General features: G+C 51.7%; 1 protein-coding gene and 2 long non-coding RNA genes across 6 annotated transcripts in view, besides 2 other annotated features; 2 read left to right on the forward strand and 1 right to left on the reverse strand.

The window, feature by feature from the left end:
* The window catches only part of LOC124904184 (uncharacterized), a 72,878-nt gene extending 68,851 nt beyond the window's left edge, over nucleotides 1-4,027 (forward strand). The window contains exon 3 of the long non-coding RNA XR_007066103.1: nucleotides 3,633-4,027. This is a non-coding gene — a long non-coding RNA (uncharacterized LOC124904184). The remainder of the gene's footprint in view (nucleotides 1-3,632) is intronic.
* Nucleotides 1,467-1,536: a silencer, noted in NCBI's record as "silent region_927". NCBI's record gives its function as "represses an Ori minimal core promoter by ATAC-STARR-seq in GM12878 lymphoblastoid cells {active_cell/tissue: GM12878}" and the evidence as "EXISTENCE:reporter gene assay evidence [ECO:0000049][PMID:35858748]".
* Nucleotides 1,737-1,786: an enhancer, noted in NCBI's record as "active region_1069". NCBI's record gives its function as "activates an Ori minimal core promoter by ATAC-STARR-seq in GM12878 lymphoblastoid cells {active_cell/tissue: GM12878}" and the evidence as "EXISTENCE:reporter gene assay evidence [ECO:0000049][PMID:35858748]".
* Nucleotides 4,028-5,179: 1,152 nt separating the features above from the next.
* On the reverse strand, nucleotides 5,180-10,445 carry LOC105378736 (uncharacterized). Its single transcript, XR_947376.4, has 3 exons — nucleotides 9,974-10,445; nucleotides 8,597-8,732; nucleotides 5,180-5,633 (listed from the first exon to the last, which is right to left on the reverse strand). It is a non-coding gene; the product is annotated as an uncharacterized LOC105378736 (long non-coding RNA).
* Nucleotides 10,446-10,612: 167 nt separating this feature from the next.
* On the forward strand, nucleotides 10,613-22,273 carry TMEM61 (transmembrane protein 61). 4 transcript variants are annotated; one of them, XM_011540911.3, is made up of 4 exons: nucleotides 10,613-10,653; nucleotides 10,939-11,065; nucleotides 16,082-16,431; nucleotides 21,821-22,273. In XM_011540911.3, the coding sequence occupies exons 2-4, from the start codon at nucleotides 11,051-11,053 to the stop codon at nucleotides 22,086-22,088; spliced, it is 633 nt and encodes a 210-aa protein (XP_011539213.1). In that variant the 5' UTR covers nucleotides 10,613-10,653; nucleotides 10,939-11,050; the 3' UTR covers nucleotides 22,089-22,273. The 4 variants fall into 4 exon arrangements, with proteins under 4 accessions (XP_011539213.1, NP_872338.1, XP_005270643.1 ...); NM_182532.3 differs by having other exon boundaries at nucleotides 10,613-11,065; XM_005270586.5 differs by lacking the exon at nucleotides 10,939-11,065.

Genomic DNA, 27,162 nt, shown 5'->3' on the forward strand with positions numbered 1-27,162 from the left:
CTAGGCTGGATATGAAAATTTATCAGCTGAGAAGTAGTAACTGAAGTCACGGCAGTGAATGAGGTTGTCTAGGGCAATGTAGCAAGGGCCATCACATGCTCTGCCCAGTCCAGCACAGTCAGTGGACACCTGGTCACCAAAGGAGGGGGTCACAGAACTCTACCCAGAGCCCTGTGAGGGTTGGGGGGCAGGCTGTATGGCTGTATATTTATTTTGGTGGTTGAGGGAGCAGTGACCTCATTTGCAGGCATTGGAGAAGAGGAAGCCAGGATTCACTTGGCTATGTATTCCTTCTTTATACCTTTTCCTTTTTTTCTTTTTTCTTTTTTTTTTTTTTTTTGTTGAGACAGAGTTTCACTCTTTGCTAGGCTGAAGTGAAGCAGTATGATTTTGGCTCACTGCAACCCCCGCCCTCCTGCCCCTCCCCGCCCCCGGTTCAAGCGATTCTTTTGCCTCAGCCTCCTGAGTAGCTGGGATTATAGGCGCCCGCCACCACGCCCAGCTAATTTTTGTACTTTTAGTAGAGATAGGGTTTCTCCATGTTGGCCAGGCTGGTCTTGAACTCCTGACCTCAGGTGATCCACCCGCCTTGGCCTCCCAAAGTGCTGGGATTACAGGCTTGAGCCACCACGCCCGGCCGGTATACCTTTTCTTTTTTAAGGGCAAGTAGCATGTGACTAAGGTGGTGTTAATGATCTGTGCTTGGTAGGAAGAGAAAGGGGGCTGGTCGGGGACATGGGATTAGTAAGGGCAGAAAAAGAGAGCCAAAGGAGAGATTGGGAGTGACAGAAAATCCCCATCTAGCCCAATGGCGATAGGGTGGGGGAGAAGCAGAGCCCAATGTGTGCAGGGCCATGCTGTGAGGCGGAAAGAACGGGGACACAGTGGATGACAGATCTTGTTTCCATTCGGGTTAATTCAGCCCTCTGAGTCTCAGTTTCCCCATCTGTGAAGCAGGAATAACAGCAGTTGTGGGGATTACAAATAACCAGTCAAATTCAGGTATTCCTTGATATTTGAACCTCTTTATCTGAATACTCATGATGATGACTTGCAAAGTTATTACCTATGATTCACTGCCCTGATTGAATACCTGCCTGATTGGTCGACTTGTGTGCCAGTGACAACATGTATGTTGTGGGTGAGCTCCTGTGAGCGTTATGTAGTGTGCACCGCAGTCCGGTTTCAGCTCTTTCTCCCTTTATTGCATTGTCCAAATGTGTTGGGCATCATTTGCTGGCATCTTCCTCACATTATAAGTGCAAATATCTTTTAGGAAAATGCAAAACCAGGGAAGAAAGTGAGTGAGCTTAGGTGGCCTAGAAACACTCTTCATTAACAGAAAAAGCAGAAGTGATGAAGAGTGCTGAGGGCAGGGGCACGTGCACAGAATGAGGCTGGTGATGCACGTGCCCATCACCCACGCCTGCGTCAGGCAGGCAAGCTATGATGACAAGAGAGTGTGGCCTTGACACAAGCAGATTAGTTGTATGCAAAAACGCAATGACCAGAGCATGGTCCCAGAGCTGTACAACTGTAAGCAAAGGAAAAGCAAACAGGTATGCACTTGGATTTTTTTTTAACCCAATGATTCATTTATGGCTTCAGATAATGAGTCAGAGGCATTTACTTCCTGAATCTCAAATGTCAAAAAGAAAGGGTATCCCCAGTTCCTGGGATGTGGACACGGACCAACCTCAGGCATCTCACCTACCACTTATAGCCACCACCTCCTCCTCTTGCCCTTGTACCTCACGGAGGAAACTATTCTATTGATTAGTGTGATTTTCAAATTTGTTTATTTATGTATTTTGTTATGCTAACTGGCACTTGTAGTCAGTACATGTTTAATATACCATTCAGTGTAATTTACATTACAGTAAATGTTCATTGAAAGAAAATATAACATGCATCTACTACTGTACAGTATCATTATGTATCAATAACATCAAATGAGGTCAACACTTTGTATTATATAGAGATTATAAGGCTTCATATTGTGTAGAAACCCTTAGTTGTTTGTTAAATAGATGTTTAAGGATGTTTTACTGCTATTTGGACAAATTGGCTGGGCTTTTTAGGTGGGCTGTGAATACAATATTAATTTTTATATTTAAAATAATGGAATATAAGCTCCTGCTGGCCAAGTTTTCTCCAGCTCTGGGAAGCCACAGTGGTTAAGGGACCTCCAAATGTTCCAAAGAACAATCTGGAAGCTTCTACAGTGATTGAGAGGAGACAAACACATCCTGGAACTGTTAAATGACCTAAAGAATCTGGTGCTAGAGTCCCAAAATGTCAGAGGTAGGGGTAGGGGGACCTTGGAGAGCAGGCAGGCCAACCCTCCCCATTGGACAGAAGGGAAAACTGTGGCCCACCTGGGAAGGGACTGGCCCAGGGCTGCGTGATGAATTAGGTGAAGCCTAATTCATTAGGTGGTCATTAGGTGAAGCCAGATTTCCTGCCCCCAATGCCAGTGTGTTCCCACTCATCTGGTCCATTTCAATTACTGATGGGGAAACCGAGGCCACAGACAGCAATGACTTACTTGGCCAGGGTCACTCTGCAGGCTAATGGCAGAGTCAGGAGTAAATCGGCATTCAGGCCTGTCACCATACTTGGGCACCATCAAGCCCAACCTGTCATTCAGCTGTTGAGAAGCCAGGCCCGGAAAGGGGAGCAAGAGATTGCATTTCTACCAGGGTATCGTTTTGCTGCCCCTGGTGTTCTGGGTTGGGTGGGTGGAGGGTCAGATAAAGGTGCAATTCTCTGAGCCTGGAGAAGGCTTAGAGGGAAAGGATGATTTGGTCTGAATGGGCTGAGTAGGAGGTTCTTGAGGGACATCAGCCCTTGGGTGAATGGGGCTCTATGGGGAGGGGGATTGGTGCATGGGGCAGGGGTTAAGGCAGGAAGTGGGGTTCTTTAGAAATCCTGGGGTAGCAGGCAGGTGATTCCAGAAGAGCCTCCAGATGCTGACTCAACAAAGTCCAGGATTTCTATTCAATTTGAATGGAAACTTGTGGATTAGTGAGTTCAATTCAAAATAAGAGGACGGAGAAGAGGAAGAAAGAGAACTAAGCCCCAGCATAGAGTCTCAGAACTTGAAAGGACATCCGACTTTTTACAGATCGGGAAACTGAGACTGGGAGGGTGCGAGGACTTGGCCAAGGCCACAAGTCACAGTCAGGACCAGAACCAGCCCCTCCTGTCCAGCTGTCTTCCCACCCATCCAATTTCGGCACATTGAGATTTTGCAACACTGACAGCTGGGCTTGCTGTGATTTTTAGAATCTGTCAACAGAGGGAGCAGCTGGCTCTTTCCCGGAATCTGAGCCTTTTCATGGGTCTGCCTGAATCCCTGAGGTCACTCTTGGAGTCCAGGCTGTCACCAGCCCTCTCCATCCACAGACCCTCCCAGCTCTTAGCTCTTTGTCTTGGTTCCCAGACAAGATTTCCTCCTCCCGCTGGCATGCAGCTTCCCCAAGTTCCAAGTTCCAGGGCTGCCCTCCCAGAACAGCAGCCGCAGAATAGCCCTGGCTGACACACTTGGGCAAAAAATGTATTCCAAGGAAGGCAAAGCCTTGAGGTTTCTAATCCATTTCTTACCCACAGACTGTCATTTCCTTTTTTAGAGCATAAACTCAGAGGACGCAGCTACTTCTCTCCATGAATAGGCTGTCTCCCAGGCACAGAATTCCAGGAACCAGCAGGGCCTTTCAAGGTTGGTTTCAAGGGAAGAGTGTGTCCCTTGCAGGGTGGCTGGAGCCAGCTCCAAGAGCCTGAAAAATCATCTTGGCACCAAGTCTGATGCAACTCTGGACCCAACAGGAATCTTGGAGGATTTGCCACAACCTTAGTCATTCACCTTCAAATCATCCACACTGATTCAGCCTCTCCTTCACTGAACAAGTATTTATTGAGCACCTACTATGTGTAACCTTCTAGGCAATATAACTTTTTGGATACAGCAGATTAAACAAAGATCACTGCAATCACTAAATGAATATCTTGAGAGGTGGATTGTAAAAGAGACTTCTGTACTATTTTATGTGTACATAGAATCAAGTGGGTATAGAACTTTGGTGTTGGATGGACCTGAGTTTAAACACACTCTGTTCTGTGATCTTGGTTATTTGAATTTCTCTGAGCCTCAGTTTCCTCAATCCTTAGGTGGAAATAAAAATTCCTACCTTATCCAGAATCAGTTAAATATAGAGTTAGCCATATGACCAGCAAGTTCATGCCTAAATTACATAACTGAGGGAAATAAAAACATATTTTTTATCTTTCACACAAAAACTAGTATCTGAATGTTCACAGCTGCAGTATCCATAATAGCCAAAAAGTAGAAACAACTAAAATGTCTGTCAACCAAACAGTAAGTAAACAAAATGTTTTATATCATACAATGGAATATTACTCAGCAATAAAAAGGAATGAACTGATACATGCTTCAACATGGAGGAACCTTGAAAACATTATGCCACATGAAAGAAGCCAGATCTCATATTGTATGTTTCCATTTATGTGAAACGTTTAGAATAGGCAAATCCATAGAGACAGAAAGTAGATGAGTCGTTGCCTCAGGCTGGGGGAAATGAGGAATTAGGGTGTGATAGTTAAGAGGTGTGAGATTTCTTTTCAGGGTGATGGAAATGTTTTAAAATTGATGATGATGGATGCACAACTCTGTGAATATACTGAAAGCTACCGAATTGTACACTTTAAATGAGTGAGTTTTACAGTATATAAATTATATATCATAAAGTTGTAAAAAGAAAAAAATCTTACCACGTAGGGCTCTTTCAGGATTAAATGAGCTAAGAATACAATGCACCTAGCCTGGTGTCTGGTATTGGCACTTGGTACACATTCAATAGATGCTTTTTTTTTTTTTTTTTTTTTGAGACAGAGTTGTGCTCTTGTTGCCCAGGCTGGAATGCAATGGCACGATCTCAGCTCACCGCAACCTCCGCCACCTGGGTTCAAGCGATTCTCCTGCCTCAGCCTCCCGAGCAGCTGAGATTACAGGCATGTGCCACCACGCTCGGCTACTTTGGTATTTTTAGTAGAGACAGAGTTTCTCCATGTTGGTCAGGCTGGTCTCTAACTCCCAACCTCAGGTGATCCGCCCGCCTCGGCCTCCCAAAGTGCTTGGATTACAGGCGTGAGCCACTGCACCAGGCCCAATAGATGCTTTTATTCTGCTAATAATCCTTTACAGTCTGGCTTATACAAAAGGTTAAAATTATGTCCGTTGTCAACATAAGGATGATAGAAACTTTGGTAATCAGTGTTTTGCCTTGAACAGATGTTCTTTCCTTACTCCCAGTCCCTGCCCTTTCTCTGCCTGTTGACATCCTAGATGTATCACAACCCGGCTCAGAAGTCATCTCTTTGAAGCCTCCTTTTTGGTCTAACTAAAAACCCTGGGGCATTTTTAGTGACCCCCAAAAGGGGCATTCAGAGACACACTCTTGTCACCATCTGGCTTTCTTCCAAATTCTTTGTGAACACACCATCTTTCCATGTGTCCTGCTTTCTGCATCCAGCGCCATGGCACCTGGCACAGCAGGGATGATCCTCTAATGAGTGTTCACAACACACATGCTCTGTCTTCCTTGCCACAGCACCTGCAGAAGGCAGAATTCTGAGATGGCTCTCATAGCCTTTGCCCTCCGATGTTAATGTTTTGATTATGTGACATGGCAAGAGGAATTCTGTAGATGAAATTAAGATTACTAATCAGCAGACCTTAAGGTAGGAGATGGGTGGGTCTAACCTAATCATGGGAGCCCTTTAAAAGCAGAGAGTTTTCTTTGGCTAGTGGTAGAAAAGGCAGTCAGACAGGTTTAAGGCACGAGGCAGACTTGGCTTGAGGGAGGTTTTCCCTTGCTGGGTTGGAGGGGGCTAGGGGGCAGCCACTAGGAGCAGAGATTGGCCCCCTGGCTGACAGCAGGAAAGAAAATGAGGACCTCAGTCCTATGGCAAGGACCTGGATTCTGCCAACAACCTGGATTACCTTGGAAGCAGATTCTTCCCCTAAGCCTCCAGACAAGAGGCCAGCCCAGCCAACACCTTGCCTTTGACTTTGACAGACCCTACGCAGAGAACCCAGTTGACTCCAGCTAGATTTCTAACTTACAGAAATATGAGATAATAAATATATGTTATTTTAAACTGCTAAGTTTATAATAATTTGTTGTGTAGCAATAGAAAACTAATGAGGCACCCATCTCTGGAGAGAAGTTTTACCCCTATTTTTTAAGTGATGAGGTCCAGGGAGGTATGGTTGCTTGGCCAAGATTGCACAGCACATGAGTGACAGGCTGAGCTACAGCCTAGGGCAGGGGCCAGCAAACATTTTTTGTAAAGGTTTAGATAGCAAATATTTAGGCTTTGTGAGCTATACAGTTTCTGTCATAACTATTTCCTTCTAACATCGTAGCACAAAAGTAGTATGTAAAGAATGAGCACAACTGTGTTCCAATAAAACTTTTTAGAGGCTACATTTTGAATTTCATAAAATTCTGTATGTAATGAAATATTCTTATTTATTTATTTATTTTTGCGACAAAGTCTCGCTCTGTTGCCCAGGCTGGAGGGCAGTGGCATGATCTTGGCCACTGCAACCTCTGCCTCCCAGGTTCAAGTGATTCTCCTGCCTCAGCCCCCGAGTAGCTGGGATTACAGTTGCCCACCACCACACTTGGCTAATTTTTGTATTTTTAGTAGAGATGGGGTTTCACCATGTTGGCCAGGATGGTCATGAACTCCTGACCTTAAGTGATCCATCCTCCTCAGTCTCCCAGAGTGCTGGGATTATAGTCATGAGCCATCACGCCCGGCCATGAAATACTCTTTATTTTCTTCAACCATTAAAAAGATGTGGAAACTATTATTCTTAGTTGGCAGGCTGTATAAAAACGGGCAGTGAGCCAGGTCTGGTCTATGAGCCACAGTTTGCCAGCACTCCCCAGGTGCCCGACTCCTAGCCCAGGGTGTCAGTGATTATCAATAGGGCTAAGGGGTGGTACAAAGCGTGCTGGACACCAAGGCTCTGTGTCTAGGTCCCTGTTGTACTTCAGATTTGCTACGTGACTTCAGGCAACTCACTTTCCTTTTCTGGGCCTATAAATCAAAGCAGGGTAATGGCATTCAAATCTTTTCCCTACGCACCCCCCTACCCCCAGGGACTTTTCCAAAGCAAAGCTAATACAGAACTCTAGCTTCAAAAGCTGACCTAAAGGGCACCTGCTCTGACTGGCCGGGGAATGTGGTTGGGGTCCCTGTCCACTTCCTCTCGTTCCACTCCCAGGAGCTCCAGAGTCTCTGTAGAACACAGTGTGCAAACCTTTGAACCAGCCAGTCTCTAAAACCTAACTAAGGCAGTCTAAACCAGGGATTCTCAACCCGGTGCTTGACATCTGGGACTGGATAATTCTTTGTTGGGGGTGCTGTCCTGTCCTGTGCATTGTAGGTTGCTACTAGAAGCTGTTTGAGATGGGGTCTTTGTCACTCAGGCTGGAGTGCAGTGGTGTGATCTCGGCTCACTGCAACCTCTGCCTCCCAGGTTCAGGGAATTCTCCTGCCTCAGCCTCCCAAGTAGCTGGTATTACAGGTGCCCGCCACGAAGCCTGGCTAATTTTTGTATTTTTAGTGAAGGCAGGGTTTCACCATGTTGGCCAGGCTGGTCTCAAATTCCTGACCTCAGGTGATCTGCCCTCAGGTGATCTCGGCTTCCCGGAGTGCTGGGATTACAGGCTTGAGCCACTGTGCCTGGCCTGATTTCTTTTAACTTACTGACATTTTCTGATTTTTCTGCAATGTCCAGCAATTTCTTTTCACTGAAAAAAAAAAAAAAAAAAAGAAGAAGAAGGCAGGCATGCAGTTTTGTTTTTGTCAGTGTGCTCAGGCCTAGGATGGATGGACCTGTAAATCCCTTTGGAAGCCTGGAAGAGGGACCAGATTATACTACTTTGGGACACTGAGAAGTCACCTAGAAAAGGTGACCTGTAACCTGAGTTTTAAGGGAAGTGCATGAGCTCACCAGGTGAGGAAAGGGCCTTTGTGACCAAGGTGTGGCATTGTCCCTGGGACACAGTGAACAGTGAGTTCAGGCATGATATGGTAGGGAGCACAGGAAGTGAAGCTGGGAGGTGGCCAGGGATTTGGTTACAAGACTGTGGATGCTTGGAGCTGGGGTTGTTATTCTGAGGGCAGTGGGGGAGCCATTGAAAGGTTTGGCAGGTGAGAGACTGATGGGGATGCTGGTCTGGAAGCTCAAGCTGGTGTCTCATGAAGGGCAGTCAGCTTGGGGGCAGAGAGGCCAGTGAGAGGCAGGAGCAGGAACACAGGCTGTAACAAAGAGGGGACAATGTGGCAAAAACTGGAGAAGTGCATACGGGTCTGGAAGATTCAGACTGACATGGATTTCAGCACCTCCTCTCCCCAATCCCCACTTATTAGCTGTGAGCCCTGGGCAATGCACTTCTCTCTGAGCCTCCATGACTTAGCTGAGGTGACAACGAAATGGGAAGAGTATGTGGCTGGTGACATGTGATAAGTGGGTACAAATGGTAGCTCCCTTCCCTACCCGCTTGAGGCAGAAGCTGATGGCCAGTTTTCTTCTGAGTCGCCCAGCCGAGCCAGGGAAATTCTGAGTGTGCTTGTTTAGAGAGGGTCACCACCATGCCTGGGCAGCATCGCAGATCTGACGCTGGGACCAGTTTCTGAAAGGTGGGGAAGAAGACAGAGCCAGAAAACCTGGGTTAGATTCCTGGATTTCAATTAGCACCCAGGCCCAGCCCCTTCTGGTCCCAGCTGTACTGCATCCGGCTGGGTCCTGAGCCAAGTGACACCTGGTCCCTGCACTCAGGAGGTCCCCATAAACTAGGGGAGATTCACAAATAGAGCCATTGTGTCATGTGAGGACATACCCTGGCCAGCTCCTCAGGCTAAGGTCTTACTAAACCCCAATAGCTATTCTAGGAAGGAGGTGCCATTGTCTCTATTTTACAGATAAAGATGTGGCCAGTCTTCTGGTCTGAAAGTGGCTAAGGCAGGAAGGAACCGTGACTTGTCCAGTTCCAGGGCCTGAGCTTCCAGCCTGGCCCAGGGATTCAGGTTGAAGCAGGGCCCGAGGGGTGTGCTAGCAACATCAGCCTGTCCAGGCCTGGACCCCAACATCAGCAACCTGTGACTCACTTCTGGGACTACACAGGCAGGGCTGGGAGGGTCCATTTTGACCAGTGAGGGGCCCACAACACACACAGATGCCTGCCCTGTGGAAATGAGTGGAGCCAAAAGCTCTGTGGCCTCCAGCTTCCCATTCATATCTCCCCTGTGCCTACAAGGGTGCAAAGAGGGCTGCCAGCGGCCTTGGTCCCACCTACAGACTGAAAGTCAAAGGAAGTCTGCCTGGTCCTTGTCTCGGCTCTGTAGCCTTGCACACACAGGCCTGTGCCCTTCTCTGAGCCTTAGTTTCCTGGTGGGATATTTCTTCAGAGACAGAGTTTGGGGGCCCAGGGCCCTGCCGCTGACCTGCTCTGTGACTTGGAGCCAGTGGCTTCCTCTCTCTGGGCTTCAGATCCCTGCCGGCCAGGCTGCTCCACCTTCTATCCTTGGGCTGGGAAGAGAGTTAGTCACCCCCAGCTCACTGGGGAATCTAGGCCATGCCAGTGGCAAGCTGGCCCCAGTCCCCCGGCTTGCTGGAGTAGCAGGAAAGGGCAAGAACAAAACCCAGACCCCAGCTGGTTCTGGAAATGGCTTCCCTTGGCCCACATGAACTTGTCAGGATCTCACCAGCCTGTGACTTCACCTACATGCTGCTCCTTCTGCCTGGATGCTGTTGTCCACTCCTACTCTCCTAAGGCACCTCAGATGTCCTCTCACGGAAAGATTCTTACACACACGCACACACACACGCACACACGCGCGCGCACGTAACCCTTCCTCCAGGCTCCCAAATCACCTGTCCACAAAAACTGCCTTCAGTAGCCACTTAACCTGCATGCTTAAGGCATTCAATCCTCACAGAACTGTGAGTTAGGGATTATCAGTTCTCCTTGAGGGAGGAAGGTTCAGAGAAGTTAGGTGACACATCTTCAGTCCCTCTCCGGGGCCTCCACTGGCTGGGGCAGTGACGCCGGTAACGGGGAGCACTTTAATGCTGGTCATTATCGCTGAGAACGCCTTCCTCCCCAGGAACTAGGGTCCTGGAGGGACGGGAGGGCTTGCTGTCTGACTGCTGTGAAAAAGCAGGTTCGGTCAACGCAGTCTGCAGCAAACACCTCGGCAAGTGACTTTCCCCTGTCTGGGCCTCAGTTTCCCTTTCTATAAAATGGGGGTGAACAGGACTGGGCTCGGGACTCCTAAGCCCTGTCCGGCTGAGCCTTAACGGCTCGGAGGAGTTTGTCTCCATTTCCAAGCCCGCCCTGGAGCGCTCGCGGGGGCGTGACGGCCCCCAGGACCCAAGGTTCCGATCCGCGCCAAGGCGTTCCGGTCAGCAGCAGCCCCGCGGCTCCTCGGGCCCCGCCGCGCTGGCAAGCCCCAGTCCCCGCCAGCCCAATCGTGCTGGCGCTTTAAGGACGGGCGGGGCGGGCTGGGCGACAGCGCTGGACACCTGGAGCTGCCCGAGGACGCGGAGGAGAGGTGGGGCGGGCGTCACCACCGGAGTGGAGGGCGAGGCCCGGGTCCCGCGCTCCCCTGGGCGCCCCACGGCAGCCTCAGAGCCCCGCGGGGAGCGCGCAGCCCTCGGGGCGGGCGCCGGGGTGAGGCCTGGCTCGGTCCCTGCGCACCGGGTGCGGGCGGCGGAGAGGGCGCGGCTGGTGAGCCCTGGGAGGGCCCAGGAGCCAGACCTCGGTTTTGCGGGCTGGGGAGCAGGGCTCGGGGGCAGCGGCCAGGCCCCTCCGCCCCTAACACCCGCGCCTCCTGCAGACCCGAGGGTCGCCGCTGGTAGGGTCGCTCAGCCCTGGCGTCCTCCACCACCACACCTTCACCTGCGCCCGGCTCCCTGCGCGCCTGGACAGCGCCTGCTGCCCGCCTCCCGATGGCCCTGCCCCAGGTGGGTGGAAACGGCCTTCTCCCTCCTTTACGGGCACTCAGCCCCTTCTGTCGTCGACCTTGCCCCGACCCCTTCCCCTAACCTCGGTCACCGTGGCTTGGTGGGCAGTGTGGACACCCGGGGCTCTGCCTGGGTTTTATCTTGCTGGGTGGCTTGAGGCCATGGCACTCAGGGCCTCAATTGGGGAACAAGAACAAATTCTTGTTCGGACAGTTTCGTCTTTACAGAAAGCGGCATCTAAAGTGCCCTTATTGGGGCCTGGTGCGGTGGCTCACGCCTGTAATCCCAGCACTTTGGGAGGCCGAGGCGGGCTGATAACTTGAGGTCAGGAGTTCGAGACCAGCCTGGGCAACATGATGAAACCCTGTCTCTACTAAAAATACAAAAATTAGCCGGGCATGGTGGCGGGCGCTTGTAATCCTAGCTGCTTAGGAAGCTGAGGCAGGAGAATCACTTGAACTCAGGAGGCAGAGGGTGCAATGAGCCGAGATCGCAGGACTGCCCTCCAGCCTGGGCAACAGAGCAAGATGGAATCTCAAACAAAACAAAACAAAACAAAAATGCCCTTATTGGTATGGAGTAGGGCACGGAGAATGGCATGGCGTTCCATCCTGGCTTTGTGCAGGAGTGGGTGCAGGAGGGAGGCTCTGTCCTCCGGACTCTCCTGACAGGAGCAGGGCCTTTCTACTAGACTTTTACTGAAGATGCTGCCCCCTTGCCAGGGGGCAGATGATAGATTCAGGCTGGCCCTGCCACCAGTGAGCAGATAGGGCAAGATGAAGGGCAGGGACAGGTGCTGAGCACTGCTGTGGAAATAAAAATAATCATAATAAGAATAAATTTTATTTTAATATATTCTCATTCTGAGAAGCAATATGGTATTATTGTGCCCATTTACAGGGAGGACACTAAGGCGTGGAGAAGCTGGATCCTGCCAGTGTCAGAGCAGGGTGCATCCTCGGTCCAGCCTTGTGTCCCTGTGCCTCACTTACAGCCTGCCGTCTTGCCATCTCATTTTCATTACCTGCTTTCCCCTTGCAGGCAGGGATTTGAACTCAGAGATGCTGGGTGGTCACAGAGCTAACAGGGAATGACCACTGTAGTCAGAGGGGGTGATCAATGGATGCATCTGATTCCCGGAAAACCCTCCTCTGGCTGGAGGGAGGTGGGGGCAGCTTCTGTAGACAGCCTTCTGGGAAGGGGTGCAATGAGAGTCCTGGATGTAAGCAGAGGGCGCTCCAGGTGGAAGGAGCACAGGTCTAGTAGAGGGTCCAGGTGAAAGGAGTTTGGGTGAGAACAGCCTGCTGATAGTGACATCCCTGACCTATAATAATAAGGAAAACAACCACTGCACAATGGAACAGGCTGCCCTTCATCCAGTGGACATTGACCTTCTCCACCCCAACCGTCCCCCAGGATGGCAGGTTAGCATGTGCCCTGCCTGCTGTGGGGGATCCACATGGAAGGAGCGAGACCCACACAGAAAATGACCCCGACCCCATGTGAGAACACGCAAAGGGCAGTTGCAGGGGCTAGTCTGAGGCCCGGGAGGAGTTAAGCTGGGAAGGAGGGCCATGCATTCTAAAGAGTGAGAGCTGCCCGTGCCAAAGACAAGTACATCTATTTGCAGCGTGGTCTCAACTTTCTATATTAAAAAATACTGATAGACCTAGCTGTACACACAGACAGGGATTTGACTCAGACTAGACCTGGGTCCAAATCCAGCAGTAACCCTAGTGGACAAATTGTCACCCTATTATGGTCACCAATTGTGGAGAAATTGTCACCCTAGTGGCCACAGTGTCTTTAGGACACAGTGCTGTTGTGGGGATTAAGTGAGGGGACACCTGTAAAGTCCTTGGCATGGTGCCCAGCCTGGTAAATGCCCAGCCTGATAAATGCACAGCACACATCTGCTGCTGCCATCATCCTGTATGCAGGACAAGGGGGCAATGAACAGGAAACAGCCACCTGGGGATTTTGCTAATCTTTGAGAGGCAAGATTAGTGGTGATTTGTGTTTTGCTTTGTTTTTTTTTTTTGTTTTTTTTTGAGAAAGAGTCTCACTCTGTCACCCAGGCTGGAGTGCAGTGACGCAATCTCGGCTCACTGCAACCTCCACATCCTGGGTTCAAGTGATTCTCGTGCCTCAGCATCCCGAGTAGCTGGGACTACAGGTGCCCACCACCACGCCTGGCTAATTGGCTAATTTTTGTATTTCTAGTAGAGACGGGGGTTTCACCATATTGCCCAGGCTGGTCTCAAACTCCTGACCTCAGGTGATCCACCCACCTCGGCCTCCCAAAGTACTGGGATTACAGGTGTGAGCCACTGTGCCCAGCCTGTATTTTTAAATTTTTATTCTCTTCTGTGGTTTTCTCCTTTTTCCACAATGAGCAGCAACTATTGTTTGGTACAAAGTAAAAAGCAGTGTAGGTTGCCCCACGCAGGTGTGCCTAGGTGTGTGCTCCTCCAGTGCTGAGAACCCTGCTGTACCTGGCTTTGGACCAGGTCCTTCACCTTTTTGGGCTCACTCTCCTCATTTGTAAAATGGGACTTTTCATATGGCCTGCCCACCTGTAGGGAGGCAGGTGCGATGCTAGGTATAAAGGGGGACTGTTGAGTACCATAACATACAGGCAGTGGTTACTGTTCTTGATTTGCTTGTGTGTTTTGTTTTTTGAATTTTTTTTCCCAGAAGCAGGTTTCTCCTCTTGACAGCCTCTCCTAGCTCTTTGACTTTGGGGATGGGGGACTGGGAGTAGTCAGAATTTTTTGCTCCCTACATGAAAAGGCTTTGAGCTGGAGACAGGAGGCACTTGCCCCCTGGACAGATTCACAGGAAGAGAACTGCAGGTAATTTACAAATGGAATTTCTCTATATGCATCCAGAGGTCTAGGGGTGCAGAAAGATTGAGGTCCACTCCCAGAGCGCCCCTTTTACATGTGTACATTCTCTCTCTCTCACACACACATGCACACACACACACACGTGTGTTTTTAAACACATTTGGTAACATGCCCTTTTGAAATCTAAAGTTTCACCTACTGCATCTTGAACATTTGCCATGCCCTTCAGCTCCCATGGGATCATGCCTTTGAGCAGCCGCACAGCAGTATGTCATTTGGATATATTGTTGTTGGCTGGGCAAGCCCCACTTGGAAGGGATTTGTGATCACTGAAGCCTCTCTTTAAGGTCTGTGGCCCCCGCTGCCTGCTTCACTGGCTCAGCCTCTGGAAGAGGAGACAGTGCTTCTGCAAATCCTCCTAGCAGCCTCCTAGAGAGCCTGCCTTTTATCCGATGAGGAAGCAGGCCCGGGGCAGGTGAGAGGCTTATCCCATGATACAGCTGTAGAGGGGGGACCAAAGCCGGGACTGTCCTTCATGTCCCTGTGCTGTGGAAGCTGGAATCCTGCACTGCCTCCTCTCTCCCAGCTCTTCACAACTGTGAGGGTGGATTTTCACCCGACCAGCATTGATTTATCCAGCAACACTTTCCCTCAGTTCAGAGGATTTATTGAGCAGCTATTATATGCTAGGCACTGAGGGGATATAGTGGTGAACAAGGCCAGCATGGACCCTGCCCTCAGGGAGCTCACAGACCGGGGAGTGGGATAAGTGAAGCAGAAGTTAAGCACAGGTTTCTGCTGTGGCAAAGGTGGCCCAGGGCACTTAGGGGTTTAAAGTTAAAGTGTCTTCAGAGAAGGCTTCCCTGGTGAGGCTGAGCTGAGCCTTGAGGGGAGCTAATGGGAAGTTACAGGTACAGGGACTGGAAGGTACAATGGACAGCCTAGAAATTGGCTTTGGGGACAACTCAGACCTAGGTTTCCGCCTCCTACATCTGTGTGATCCGGGGCCAGGACCCTTCCAGGTTTTTCCCCCCGTGCATTCTTTTATTTAATTGAGACAACACTGTATGCATAATTTAGTATACTAAGTTGAAAAAAGCAAGATGTGATAAATGTTTCCTCCTCTTGTTAAACCTTTGTGCTGAGCTTGATTTTTTAAAAAAATGGGCTAATATTAATTATTCATTCTAGAGATTATGCCATAGTTTACTCACCATTTCTTTACAATTGAACATTTTAGCACTTTCCAAATTATGACCATTATTAATAAGGCCACGGTGAACGTGTGTATGTGTGTGTGTGTGTGTGTGTGTGTGTATGTGTGTGTGACAGAGTCTCACTCTTTTGCCCAGGCTGGAGTGCAGTGGTGCGATCTCGGCTCACTACAACCTCTGCCTCCCAGGTTCAAGTGATTCTCCTGCCTCAGCCTCCCGAGTAGCTGGGATTACAGGCATGTGCCGCCATGCTCAGCTAATTTTTGTAGTTTTAGTAGAGATGGGGATTCACCCTGTTGGCCAGGCTGGTCTCGAACTCCTGACCTCAGGTGATCTGCCCGCCTTGGCCTCCCAAAGTGCTGGGATTACAGGCGTGAGTCACTGCACCTGGCTTGCTGAACATCTTTTTCCATAAAGTTTTGCTCTATGTTGCGAATTTCGGCCTCAGACTCTTCAATATCCCTCTTTCACACTTGTTCTGGGTCTCGGTATCTTCCTCTATTCAGTAACAGTGTCCATCTCACAAGATTATGACCAGGTGAAGTCAGGCAGTGCATAACCAGCAAACCCTGATCCTGGCAGGCCTGGAGGTTCCAACATGCGTTACTTTTCTCTGTCCCAGCTTCCTGTGTGGCAGTCAGGGTGGGAAGTTTTAGACCCACCAGGCAGATGGGGCCCCTGAGGCCTGGAGGGAGGCCCTGAGTGAAAGTGGTCATACTTAGCTCCTGAGATTTCCCAGTCATGGTGCTGATACATGTTTACCTCTGACCTTCAGAATAGCCCGGCAAAGTCAGGGGCATCATCTCCACTTCACAGATGAGGAAACTGAGGCCCAGAGGAGTTAAGTGACTTCTCCAAGGTTGTACAGTGACCTCAGGCAAAGGAATTAACACCTGGCCTCCAGCACCTTTCATATGGCCCATTTCCTCTTCTCCCTCCTTCTCTGTGTCCAGATGTGTGACGGGAGCCACTTGGCCTCCACCCTCCGCTATTGCATGACAGTCAGCGGCACAGTGGTTCTGGTGGCCGGGACGCTCTGCTTCGCTTGGTGGAGCGAAGGGGATGCAACCGCCCAGCCTGGCCAGCTGGCCCCACCCACGGAGTATCCGGTGCCTGAGGGCCCCAGCCCCCTGCTCAGGTCCGTCAGCTTCGTCTGCTGCGGTGCAGGTGGCCTGCTGCTGCTCATTGGCCTGCTGTGGTCCGTCAAGGCCAGCATCCCAGGGCCACCTCGATGGGACCCCTATCACCTCTCCAGAGACCTGTACTACCTCACTGTGGAGTCCTCAGAGAAGGAGAGCTGCAGGTCAGCAGGGCGGGGTGTGGCAGCGGGTGGGGACTGCAGGTAGGGGCCCAGTCACACCAGCCCACCAGCCAGCATTTGTAATTCCAGCAAATTCTCATGGGGTTCCTCCTTTGGATCAGGCTTTGCCCTGTGTCCTGGGTACACGGAAGCTGATCAGTACAGCCCTGAAGGAGTTTAAAGCCCCATGACAGAAGCTGATGATGACAAACCGGAGTAGGTAGTGCTGTGTGAGAGAGGCATGGCTTTTAAAGACATGGAGAAACCCAGGAAGGCTTCCTGGAGGAGGTGGCAGCTGAGCTCAGCTTGGTATGGGACAGAATAGCAGAGGGTTAAAAGCCTAGGCGCAAGAGTCAGACCCACTGGGACCCTGTTCTGGTTCTATCACAAACTAGCAGTGGGACTTTGAGTAGGTCATGCAATCCCCCTAAGCTTTAACTTCCTCATTTGAAATGAAAAGGACTAATAGCAACAGCAATAATAGCAAACCCCTCTACAGTACAGCCCTGTGCCAGGCACTGTTCAAAGTGCTCTTCCATACTCGCTCAGCTGATCCTTACAGCAGCCCTCTGAAGTAGCTACTGTTATGAGTTCCATTTGTAAAGGAGGAAAAGGAGGCATGGAGACACTAAGTAACTCAGCCAAGGACATCAGATAGTGTGTGTCAGAACCAGGACTTGAACCCAGGCAGTCTGGCCTCAGAGTCTATGCTCACGCCCACTCCCTACTTCAGGTGACACTTGGGAAAATTAAATGAGATATGTATGTTGAGCTTTAGCCGAGTGCCTGGTACACAGTGGGTGCACAGCAAATGTCAACTTTTCCTCTAGTGGACATGGTGGAAAAGAGGCATTTTAGGCAGGCAGAAGAGCATGCACAAAGGTATGGGGTTGGGGACAAAGTGTTGCATGAAGACAGCATCTCTCAACCTTTTATTTTCATTATGGGTCTCCCCACCCTGCCTTGTGCCATCCTTCTTAGACTTTTTTTTTTCCAAATCCTCTTCCATGAAATTGTAACACCCCAGATACACTGTGTATTTGTTTATGTTCTATATGTATATCTGTGCTTTATACATAAAAAGAGTATTACCCTCCCCAAGAACCAATGTGTGTCCTGTTGAGAATGCATGTATTATGCATGCCCTTTTATGTACTTATGTATTCAACAAAGTACAGAGTGTGCCTATGTACTAGGGGCCTGTGTACATCACCTCCTGTCTTTTCTATTTCCTGCAAGGTAAGAATGACTGTTGTGTCTGCAGAAAAGGAAGGAGAGGCATAGCTAGAAAGTGGCAGGAGCCTGCTGGCTGCACGGCTGGCATTCTTCCTCCCACGTCAGTCCTAAGCCCTGGATCCCTGTGTGTGAGGGGCTAAGCCAGACTGCCGTGAGCTGCTGGGACCTGGGACCTGAATGCTCTTCCTCCCTGTTTTAACAGGGAAAATGTTTTCCGAGTCGAAGAATGTAGGAGCATTCCTGCTACCAGCCTGTGACTTCTTAAAGCTAGAGATGATGCAGTACAGTCAGCCCTTTCTGTCTATGGGTTCTGCATCCATGATTCAACCAACCATGGATCCAAAATACTTGAAATAGCATTTACATGTGTATTTACATAGCATTTACATAGTGTTAGATATTGCAGGGCCTTGGGGACTCTCCAGCCAAACCCTTCACTTCTCAGATGAGAGACCTGGGTCTCAGAAAGACCAAGTGACCTAGCTGGTGATACAGTGAGTTAGTGGTCAGTTGGAACCAGGCCAGGCCCCAGATGCTCTGGACCAGAGCCTGCTCCTCCCACCCAGCCAGGCGTGAGTGCAGGGGGTGGGTGTTGCCTGTACACACAGCCATGTTGTTGCAACAGGGTCTAGGCACAGCTGCACCTGGCAGGTGGGGCCCCTTGGCCTTCACTCCCAGTGGGCCAGGGAGGAAGCCCACCTAGGAGGTCACAGGGTGATCGTAGCCCATCGAGCTCCAAGACCCCAGTCGTAGACTCAAAACTGGGGGGCTGGGGGTCGAGGAGGCTGCTTCTGCTGGAGGTGCTCTTTCCTGTCCTGAGGCTGACTCAGCCCAGCCCTGCTGCCTGCAGAGCCCAGCACCTGGCCCCCATGGGTGGCTACTCTGCTATTCCTGCTCCCAGGCACCTCAGTCTCTGGTGGTGCCCGCTGTGGGTAACTCTAGGTCAGAAATAAAGCCTTCCTGGGCTGATGGCTTGGGCAGGTCCCTTCCCCTCTTGGCCTCGGTTTCCCCGTTTATTCATCTACTTACTCTTTCATGCATGTGCCTAATATTGATTGAGCACACGTAGGTATGCTGGGTGCTATTCAGAGAACTGACGGTGCCACAGTGGGCAAAACAGACAAAATCCCTGCCCTCAGGAAGCTCCTATCTTGAGTGTAAGTCCCCTTAGTGAGGTGGCTGGATGTGGGGCCTCCAGTAGTCCCTGCTCTTTCTTTTAGAAGCTGTGTGTCCTTGAGGATGTTACTTAGACTCTCTGAGGCTGTGTCTGACACCTCTTCTCTCAACTGGGGTGAAGACCTTTTCCCTATCATCGCTGTCAGGCTCAGATGAGATGAGAGTTAGGGAAGCGTGCACTCTGTAGCTGGTACACACATCTGCTTTCTCTGCTATTCCTGTTTTAATTTACAGTGCGCCCTCATGCCCACTAGATTTGAGCCTCAACTGCTTATGAGGTAAGTGTAAGGATTAGGCCCATTTGACAGCTGAGAAGACTGAGGTGAGGAGAGATGAGGTGGCTTGGGGGAGAGGTGTGATAGGTGGACTTAGCTTGAGCTTTGCAGTCAGACGAAGCTGGGGCTTTGCCACTTAGTTGACACATGGCCTTTACTCATCTGTAAAGTGGGTGCAGGCCTCTACCCCCCAGGGTGGTTGTGAATATGAAAGGAGATTAGAGAACTTAAGTGTTGGGCAAATTGTATTTCATCCCTTGCCCCACTCTTCCTGGGTTTGCCTGACTCAGCTGAAAGGCAGTGGAGCTGGTGCCAGGCCCAGGTCTCCTGCCCCAACCAGACTCCAAAGATTGGGGTGAGCCCTAGCCTCCATGGCACTTCCTGTGCGGGGAGACCACTGTGGCAGGACTGCCCCACACAGCTGCCGAGGCGCCATATCCATGAATGGGGCCTGCTCCCAGAGGGGTGTGATGCAGCTGCCCTGCTTGCTGAGTTCCTGGCATCCTCGACTGTGACCTTGGCGACTTGGAGCTGGGCGGGCCCAGCTGGTCACTAAGGTGACAGAAGGTGGTGTGAGGGCCGCTTCACATCTGCCCTCTAAGCAAACTTCCTGCTGTGGGCAGAACTCACCGGCACCTGTGCCCTGCCCTGCCAGCTGTCACCTGCTGGGATGGCCCCAGGCCTACCCAAAGCCTGTCTCAGGTGTCCAGGGCTCTAAGTGGGGCTGGAGCATGGCTGGGAGGTGAGCAGGCAGGAGATGGGGCTCTGGAAGCTAATTACTTACACTTTTCTGAGTGTTGTGAAACATTTGTTTTTCTTTTTTTTTTTGCCCCTGAATCTGAAAGGAGAAATATTATCCTCATTTTACGGATGAGGAGAAAGAGGTTCAGAGAAGGTGTAAATGTGGTCCAGGTCACACAGCAGTAGAACCCAACTTGCCTCCTTCCAGGAGGAATATTCTCTGTCCTGCCCTCATCTGCAAGGATGCTGGGAGCTCAGAGGAGGGTGAGGACAGGCACTATCTCAGCTTCCTCGGCTGTCTTCCAGAGAAGGAAGGGAGGTCTGTGAGAGTTCACAGGAGCACTGGACAGGGAGTTCCATGTTTGGGACTCCTGGCTGGTGTCCCAGGGATTTCTGGCTGGTGCCCTGCCCTGTACTGACATACAGGCTGGGGTTCAAATCCAGGATCCCATCAATCTGCTCCGTCACCCTGGTCTGTGATTGGGAGCAGTGAGCCTCCCAGCAGGCTGCTGTGAGGCTGCAGTGGGCCGAGAAGACACATTGCCGGAGAAAGTCCAGGTCCCCGGTGGGTGCTGGGCGTTCACCTGAGGGGCAGCAGCAGGTTCCATCTACCAGCATGGGCCCCTCCGTCAGCTAAGTCCCATCTACTGCTTCTTCTGTTCCCCAGACTGGCCTCTTGCCATTGGCCCCTCCTCGGTCTAGACAGCAGGACCACAGGTATGGAATCAACTGCTTCCCAGCAGCTCCAAACTGAGGAGCCTGGCAAGTGACTCAGCCTCTCTCAGCCTTGTGGGGCCTGCCATCTTGAGGCCTGTGATAAGCTTTGCTCCCTGACCCATTCCCCACAGGAGCCCCTTGAGATTCTGCTCATAACCCCACTTACGTCCCGGGCGCTGAGTGCTGCCCTCCGTGAGCCCATTTAACCTGCACTCTGTCCTGTGAGGCAGGTGCCACTACCATCCCCCATTTTACAGATGAGGAAACCAGGCCTCGATGAATGGAATTACAGACCCATGATCTCCCAGCAGGAATGTGTCCAAGCAGGGAGGTGAACCAACCAGTGCCCAGACTCATAACCACCCTCAGTGTTGGAAGGGACCTTCAGGATCACCCCCAAAGCAAGAGCAGCCCACACCCAGGATCAGCGACATTCCCACCCCACTCCCCACTGTGTGTCCCAGGTTGGGGAGGGGCATTGGATCCCCAGAGATGACCCGCCAGGGCTCTGAGGGGGCCGACAGCTGGTCTCATTCCTATCAGCCTTAGGCTGGCTGGGGCGTGGGTGATCTGTCTCAGGGTCTGGCCTGCAGAACTTGGTCTCTGCCTCAAGCCCCTGTGGGGTGGTTTAGTTGGCCAGGGGTGGGGACCAGAAAAGAGTCACAGGATAGCAAACTGTCCAGAGATAGAAGTGGTTGATCTGGTAAGTTGTAAGCTCTCCATCCCTGGAGGTATGCAAGTAGAGATAATCACTTGGCAGACATCATATCAAAATCTAAAGCATCCAGATGGGCAGAGGAATTGAGGTCTCCCATTCTGCCCTGGGCATCCCAATTCTGATCTTGTAAAGGATATTTCAATAGGCGGGAGTCTTCTGTCTATGGACCACCATCACTCAATCTTTCAACATGAAACACCCATAAGCAGCTACCCTCAGCCCCTGGACTCTCAGTCACTGCCCTAGGGTAGGACTTACCCTGCAGAGAGAACTGAGGAGGCACCAGGAGGTGCTGGGAGCACATACAGGGAACTAATTCTATGGCGCAGGGAGTGGGTGGCGGGAAGGCTGAGGGCCACAGGGGCTGGCTCATGCCAAGTTTCAACTGCGTATATGTGACCCTGGAGAGCCACAAAGGCTTGGAGCAGGGTGTGAAGACTTCTCTGCCCCCAGCCTTCCTCACTGTCTCTCTGGCAGGCAGCAGGGTCTGCCCCAGCCCCTGCTAACAGCCTCTCTTCTGTTCCTGCAGGACCCCCAAAGTGGTTGACATCCCCACTTACGAGGAAGCCGTGAGCTTCCCAGTGGCCGAGGGGCCCCCAACACCACCTGCATACCCTACGGAGGAAGCCCTGGAGCCAAGTGGATCGAGGGATGCCCTGCTCAGCACCCAGCCCGCCTGGCCTCCACCCAGCTATGAGAGCATCAGCCTTGCTCTTGATGCCGTTTCTGCGGAGACGACACCGAGTGCCACACGCTCCTGCTCAGGCCTGGTTCAGACTGCACGGGGAGGAAGTTAAAGGCTCCTAGCAGGTCCTGAATCCAGAGACAAAAATGCCGTGCCTTCTCCAGAGTCTTATGCAGTGCCTGGGACACAGTAGGCACTCAGCAAACGTTCGTTGTTGAAGGCTGTTCTATTTATCTATTGCTGTATAACAAACCACCCCAGAATTTAGTGGCTTAAAATAAATCCCATTTTATTATGTCTCACGACTCTATGAGTTGCCTAGGCCCAGCTAGGGGTGTTCTGCCCTCCGTGGTATGGGTGAGGCTACAGTCTTCAGGGGCCCAGCTGGCCAGGACATCCTGGGTGGCACTCCTATGGCCAGCGGTGAGTGCTGGCTGTCAGCTGGGAGATTGTGTGCAGGTGAGAAAACTGGGGCCCAGGGGTACACATCATGTTTATAACCAGAAGAACATGGCCTCTGAATTCAGACCACCTATGTATAGGTTCCACCAGGTACCATTTCTTTTTTTTTTTTTTAGATAGGATCTCACTGTGTCACCCAGGCTGGAGTACAGTGGCTCAATCATGACTCGCTGCAGCCTCTTCCTCCCAGGCTCAAGAGATCCTCCCACCTCAGCCTCCCAAGTAGCAGAAACCACAAGCTTGCCCGACTAATTTTAAAAAATTTGTTGTAGAGAGGGAGCTTGCTGTGTTGCCCAGGCTGGTCTTGAACTCCCAGCCTCCTAAAGTGTTAGGATTACAGACGTGAGCCACTGTGCCCAGTCTGCCATGTACCATCTTAGTGACTTGGACAAGTGATTTTTCCTCTCTCTGCCTTAGCCTCCTCATCTGTAAAATGGGAATTGAGGATTCCCTCAAAGAGCTGATTTGTGAGGATTCAGTGAGATGGTAGCAACTGACATGTGAGTTCACACTGACACCGCCATCAATGGCTCAGTGCTGAGGCACCAGATAATAAAGGCAGGCGTCTTAGCCCTGAGCCAGGTGCCTAGTAAGTGTGCAGTAATTGTCAGTTTTATGAGTAGAGGTAACCCTCCTCCACCAAGTGCAAATTCAGCCTCTGCTCCCATACCTCCTTTGACGGGAAGCTCACTACTTTTGCTCACTTTGCAGATGTGGCAGAAACATCTACTTTTGACCAGCTCCGTTCTGCATCCCTACGTCTCTAGCCCACCCCACTTCCATGAAAGGAGGTGAAGTGATCTTCCCAGGGTCACACTGCCAGCAGGGGTCCAAAGGCCTGGGGCTTAGTCAGCTGGAGGAGGGTGTCATCCCCAGAGCCTACTATGTGCTGGGCCCGGTCCTCTGCTATTGTATCATCTTCAGAGTGCCCTGCGACAGGTGGTGGTGTCAGCATTTAACAGGTGAGGAACTAGCCTTGGAGAGGTAAAAATCCCAGACAATAAAGGCGCAGCCGGTGTGGGGTTCTCCCACCTAGGCTGCATGATTGTCACAGTAGCCACAGTCTTGGTCTCTCTCTGCTTCTCCCTGAGGCCCTTGCAGTCTCTTCTCAGTCCAGCAGGCAGAGTGAGCTGTTCAGACCCAGGTCAGATCATGACCCACCCTGCCCCTGGCCCTGCTGCACCCCACCCTTCCCACCGCACTCCCCCTCCCCCCACCCCCCACTGTGGCTCCCAGCTCACTTTCAATAATGAAAGCCCAGGCCAGGTGTGATGGCTCACGCCTGTAATCCCAGCACTTTGGGAGGCCGAGGCGGGTGGATCATGAAGTCAGGAGTTCAAGACCAGCCTGGCCAAGACGGTGAAACCCCGTCTCTACTAAAAATACAAAAATTAGCTGGGTGTGGTGGCGGGCGCTGTAATCTCAGCTCCTCAGGAGGCTGAGGCAGAGAATTGCTTGAACCCGGGAGGTGGAGGTTGCAGTGAGCCGAGATCGCACCACTGTACTCCAGCCTGGGTGACAGAGCGAGACTCCTTCTCAAAAAGAAAAGAAAAGAAAGGAAAAGAAAAGAAAAGAAAAAAGAAAAGAAAAGAAAGCCCAGACACTGGTCTGAGGAGAGGGGGGCTCTGAGGCCTGGTCTGAGCCTGTCCTCTCTCCTGACCCTCTCATTTCCTGCCACTCTCTCCCCCTGCTCTCTGCTCCAACCAGTCTCGCTGAGGCTTTTGCACTGGCTGTTTCCTCTCTCCTGAAATGCTTCCTGGGGGCTTGCTCTTCAGCAACCTGGGTGTCTCTTCTGACCCTCTCCCTCCCCTGTCACCAAACTCTAGATCACTCCTGTGCCTCCCTCCCTTCCTCTCCTCTACATCACTGCTTCACCCTCCTCTTCTTGGTATTAACCCAGGACAGTCTAGGAGCCTGGAGGTGTAGGTGTGAAGTGACCTTGGGTGAGTTAGGTGAGTTAATGAGTTGCTGGTGTGACCAGGAGGCACCACTTTACTGGGCAGGCACTGAAAGGGCAAGGGTGGGAGGGCTGGAAGCACAGAGAACTTTTCTGCCTTTCTCTCCAATCCACTCATCTGTGGCCTAACTGGAAGCCCACAGGAGGGGCCATGACTTGCTCAAGGTCACCAGCATCATGAAAGAGGCTGAGTCAGGGCTGCAGAGGGAAGACAGACTCCTGACCAAGCCATGTTACTGTCCCCTTCCAAGCCAAAGTGGCCTCGCTGTGAATGGGGGTTCCTTGTGTCCACTGGCAGAGTGCCTGACCATGGAGCCACGTGAGGGCCAGCTCTGCCACTCTGCAGCCCCCAGGAGGCACCAGTTTGCTTGCTGGTTTCTTTCCTCCTGGGCCCGACCATCCAGTTTCTTCACCCCCTATTCAGACCTCATCTTGTGCTGGCCACCAGAGTCTCAGATGACAGGGATCCTCAGAGCTCAGACCTCCCCCGTGCTTTCCTTGGGCCCCTCCCGGGCTTCTGTTACCCGCTGGGTGGGCTTGGTGACCCCTGCCCCTGGAGCTCTCCACCTTAAATCAGCCCACCCCAGTCAGAAATCCCTGTGCTACCCCCTCGGTGGCTCATTGCTGCTCACTGGGATCTTTCTCTCTCTAATTGAAAAATTAAAATCTGGTTCTCATCTTTCCCATGCATAACCTCTGTGAAAAATGTCAGATACCTTAGCCCCAGCAGGTTTCCTGCCTGCATTTCCTCTCCGGCCTCTCTCTCCCAGGCATGCAGATTCCATCCCTCTATTCACACACGCATCCAGAGCCTACCCTGTCCTAGCCCCTGGGGATAGAGCAGTGCTCAAAACAAAGTCCCCACCCTGTGGGGGCTTGAGTTCTAGTTGAGGAGACAGACAGACAAGAGACAAGATAAATCATGCATATAGTATGATAGGTGGCTGTGAGCACTATGGAGAAACATTGAGAAAAGAATACAGGGAACCCCTGGGGAGGCGATTCTGCAGTTTCATAGCAGGATCAGGGAAGCCCTCACTGTGAAGGCGACATTTGGGCAAAGTCCTGAAGAAGGTAAGGGAGGGAGCCATGCAGCTACAGGAAGAACAGCACTCCAGGCAGAAGGAACAGCAGGTGCGGAGGCCCTGGGATGCATGCGTGTTCCAGGAACAGCATGGGGCCAGGGTGGTGGAATGGGTGAGTGAGAGGGGGCGTGGCGGGAGGCAAGCTCAGAGGGTTGATATGCAGGCAGCGCGGGCCAATTATCCAGAGCCTTTCAGGTCATCTTAAAGCATTTGGCTTTTACTCTGATGAGATGGGGAGCCATTCCAAGGCTCCGTGCAGAAGAGTGACATGATCTGACCCAGTATTGGGGCTGCAAAGACACTTCAGAGGTCAAGGATGGAAGTAGAGACCAGTTAGGGAGAGAAAGAGATGGTGGAGGCTCAGACCCGGTGATGAGCAGTCGTCAGGGGTGAGAAGTGATTGGATTCTTACATGTTGGAGGTAGAGCCCATAGGATGTGGGTGTGATGGAGGAGGTGAGGTTGGTGACGGGGCTTGCTAACCGGAAGGATGGGGTTATGGGAGGGGCAGGCCTGGGGAGGAAGATGCAATGCAGGCAGCCTGTGCACAGCACTTAGAGCTTTCTCGCCAGCTGTGTGTCGGCGGGTACGTACCTCAGTGCCTTTGCACATGCTGGCCTCTGTGCCTAGGAGGTTTCTCCTGCCCCGTCAGAACTCCAACTGCCTTCTCAAGTGTCCCTTCTGTGAATCTGTCCCTTCACCCCTCATCCCCATCTGTTCCTCTCTCTGCTTTGTGCACATTCGGGACCTCGCACGCATCGCAAAGCCATTACCGTATTGTGCCCCAGAAGGTGCCCCAGAAGTTAGGACTGAGCGCCATCCATCCCTGAAGCCCTGTGTGTACGAGTTCCTAACAGCTCAGTGTCCCCCACACAGTAGGGGCTCAACCAGAGACTGCCTGGGGACCTGGGTGGACTCCTAGCTCTACTGTCTGTTCCCAGGTTCTGCCACGTTGGGTCGCTCGCCTTGCCTGCGTGGACCTCGATGCTTACCTCTGTCAAATGGGCGTGCTCTTTCCCTCCCTGCCTCGGGGTGTCATGGGAGCCCGCTCGCAAGGATCCCGAAAGCTGGGGTTAGCGCGCCCTCTGCTGGACGATGAAAGACTCCGCGCGCTCTGCTCCCCAGTCCCCCAGGTGGCCCGGGGGAGGTGAAGTAAGGCGGGAGGGCGGGGGGACTACAGGAGAGGAGGGGGAGCTGCTGCACCCGAACATTTCCAGCGCACCCTACACACATGTCCTTACTTAATCCCTAGCCCGACTCTGTGGAAGAGCTTAGGTGAGACCCATTTTCCAGAGTTCCTACCTGTTTCCTACTTGCTACTGAATTTCTTACTCGTAGTTACCTTATTTTTTTTTTTTTTTTTTAAGAGGAGAAGCGACTCAGAGAGAAAAGGGGCGAAGAAGGCTGGGCCGTGTAGAGGAAAGAAAAGGCGCGAGAGAAGAAGACTGCCCGGGTGACCGCGAGGCCTCTGAGGAATGGCTGAAGAGCAGATCCATCTACATGGGGCTGGGAGGGGAGGTGCGGTCACCGCTCAGCCGCCGACTCAGCCGAGGGAGACCTTGGCCAGCCCCTGCCACTCCGCAGGCTCGGTTTCCTCGCCTGTGAAATGCGGGCGATGACTCCCCTCCCCGCCGCGACTGCTCATCACCGGGTCCGAGCCCAGCCGCTGACCCCGGGGGAAGC

Source organism: Homo sapiens, chromosome 1, assembly GCF_000001405.40.
Source record: "Homo sapiens chromosome 1, GRCh38.p14 Primary Assembly".
Lineage (NCBI taxonomy): Eukaryota > Metazoa > Chordata > Mammalia > Primates > Hominidae > Homo > Homo sapiens.